This window comes from Homo sapiens, chromosome 12, assembly GCF_000001405.40.
Source record: "Homo sapiens chromosome 12, GRCh38.p14 Primary Assembly".
Taxonomy (NCBI): Eukaryota; Metazoa; Chordata; class Mammalia; order Primates; family Hominidae; genus Homo; species Homo sapiens.
The window spans coordinates 88292927-88294373 of NC_000012.12; positions in this window are offsets into that span (position 1 = coordinate 88292927).

Sequence of the window (1447 nt, forward strand, 5' to 3'; positions counted from 1 at the left end):
CCATCTATGTCTGAGGAAAGTTCTCCTGTGAGCGAACTTGGTATTCAATAGTTAACCTAAGCTCTTTGCTTCCCTGCCTGTCTGGTGGAGAAAGGAGAAAAGATTAAAATCCTCAGTGATCATGGATGATTGACATAATATATGAACTAATGACTTTCAATCATCAATAGAACGTTACATATTCTTCATGGGGAAGAGTGAATAAGAGATCAGGCAAGAGACCAGGATCGCAGCTAGGGAAGTCTGTCAGCTAGAAACAGGAAAAATTGAAAATACCTTAACTTGTCTGTAATGAGAGATTGGAGGAAAACAGGGAGTGATGGTAATAAAGAGTGGAGATTATTTCAAGAAGAAAATCATTAAACAGAGTGCTAATTCCACCCTTACACATGACACTCTGCCTAGAATTCTCTGAGATCATAGTTGTTTTTAATTTCAATTGTTTTTGAGAAACACATGGTGTTTGGCTGCATGGATAAGTTCTTTAGTGGTGTTTTCTGAGATTTTGGTGCACCCATCACTTCAGCAGTGTACACTGCATTCAGTGTCTAGTCTTTTATCCCTCACCCCTTCCCACCCTTTCCCCCAAGTTCCCAAAGTCCATTGTATCATTCTTATGCCTTTTTGTCCGCATACTTTAGCTCCCACTTATAAGTGAGAAGGTATGATGTTTGGTTTTCCATTCCTGAGTTACTTCACTAAGAATAATGATCTCCAACTCCATCCAGGTTGCTGAAAATGACATTATTTTGTTCCTTTTTATGTTGAGTAGTATCCCATGGTGTGTTTGTGTGCGTGTGTGTATCACATTTTATTTATCTACTCATTGATTGGTGGGCATTTGGGCTTGTTCCATATTTTTTGCGATTGCAAATTGTGCTGCTATAAACATGCATGTGCAAGTGCCTTTTTCATATAATGACTTCTTTTCCTCTGGTGGATACCCAATAGTGGGGTTGATGGATCAAATGGTAGATCTACTTTTAGTTCATTAAGGAATCTCCATACTGTTTTCTGTAGTGGTTGTACTAGTCTACATTACCACTAACATTGTAAAAGTGTTTCATTTTCACTGTGTTCCCTGTGTCTACACCTATTTTTTTTCATTTTTAGTTATAGCCATTCTTTCAGGAGTAAGGTGGTATCTTATGGTTTTGATTTGCATTTCCCTGATAATTAGTCATGTTAAGCATTTTTAAATGTCTGTTGGCCATTTGTATAACTTCTTTTGAGAATTGTCTATCCATGTCCTTAGCTCACCTTCTGATGGGATTATGAATTAAAAACAAAAATCATATGATCATCTCAATAGATGCAGAAAAAGCACTTGAGAAAATCCAACATCTCTTATGATTAAAACCCTCAGCAAAATAGGCATAGAAGGGACATACCTTAAGGTAATAAAAGCCATCTGTGACAAACCTACAGCCAACATTATACTGAAAGG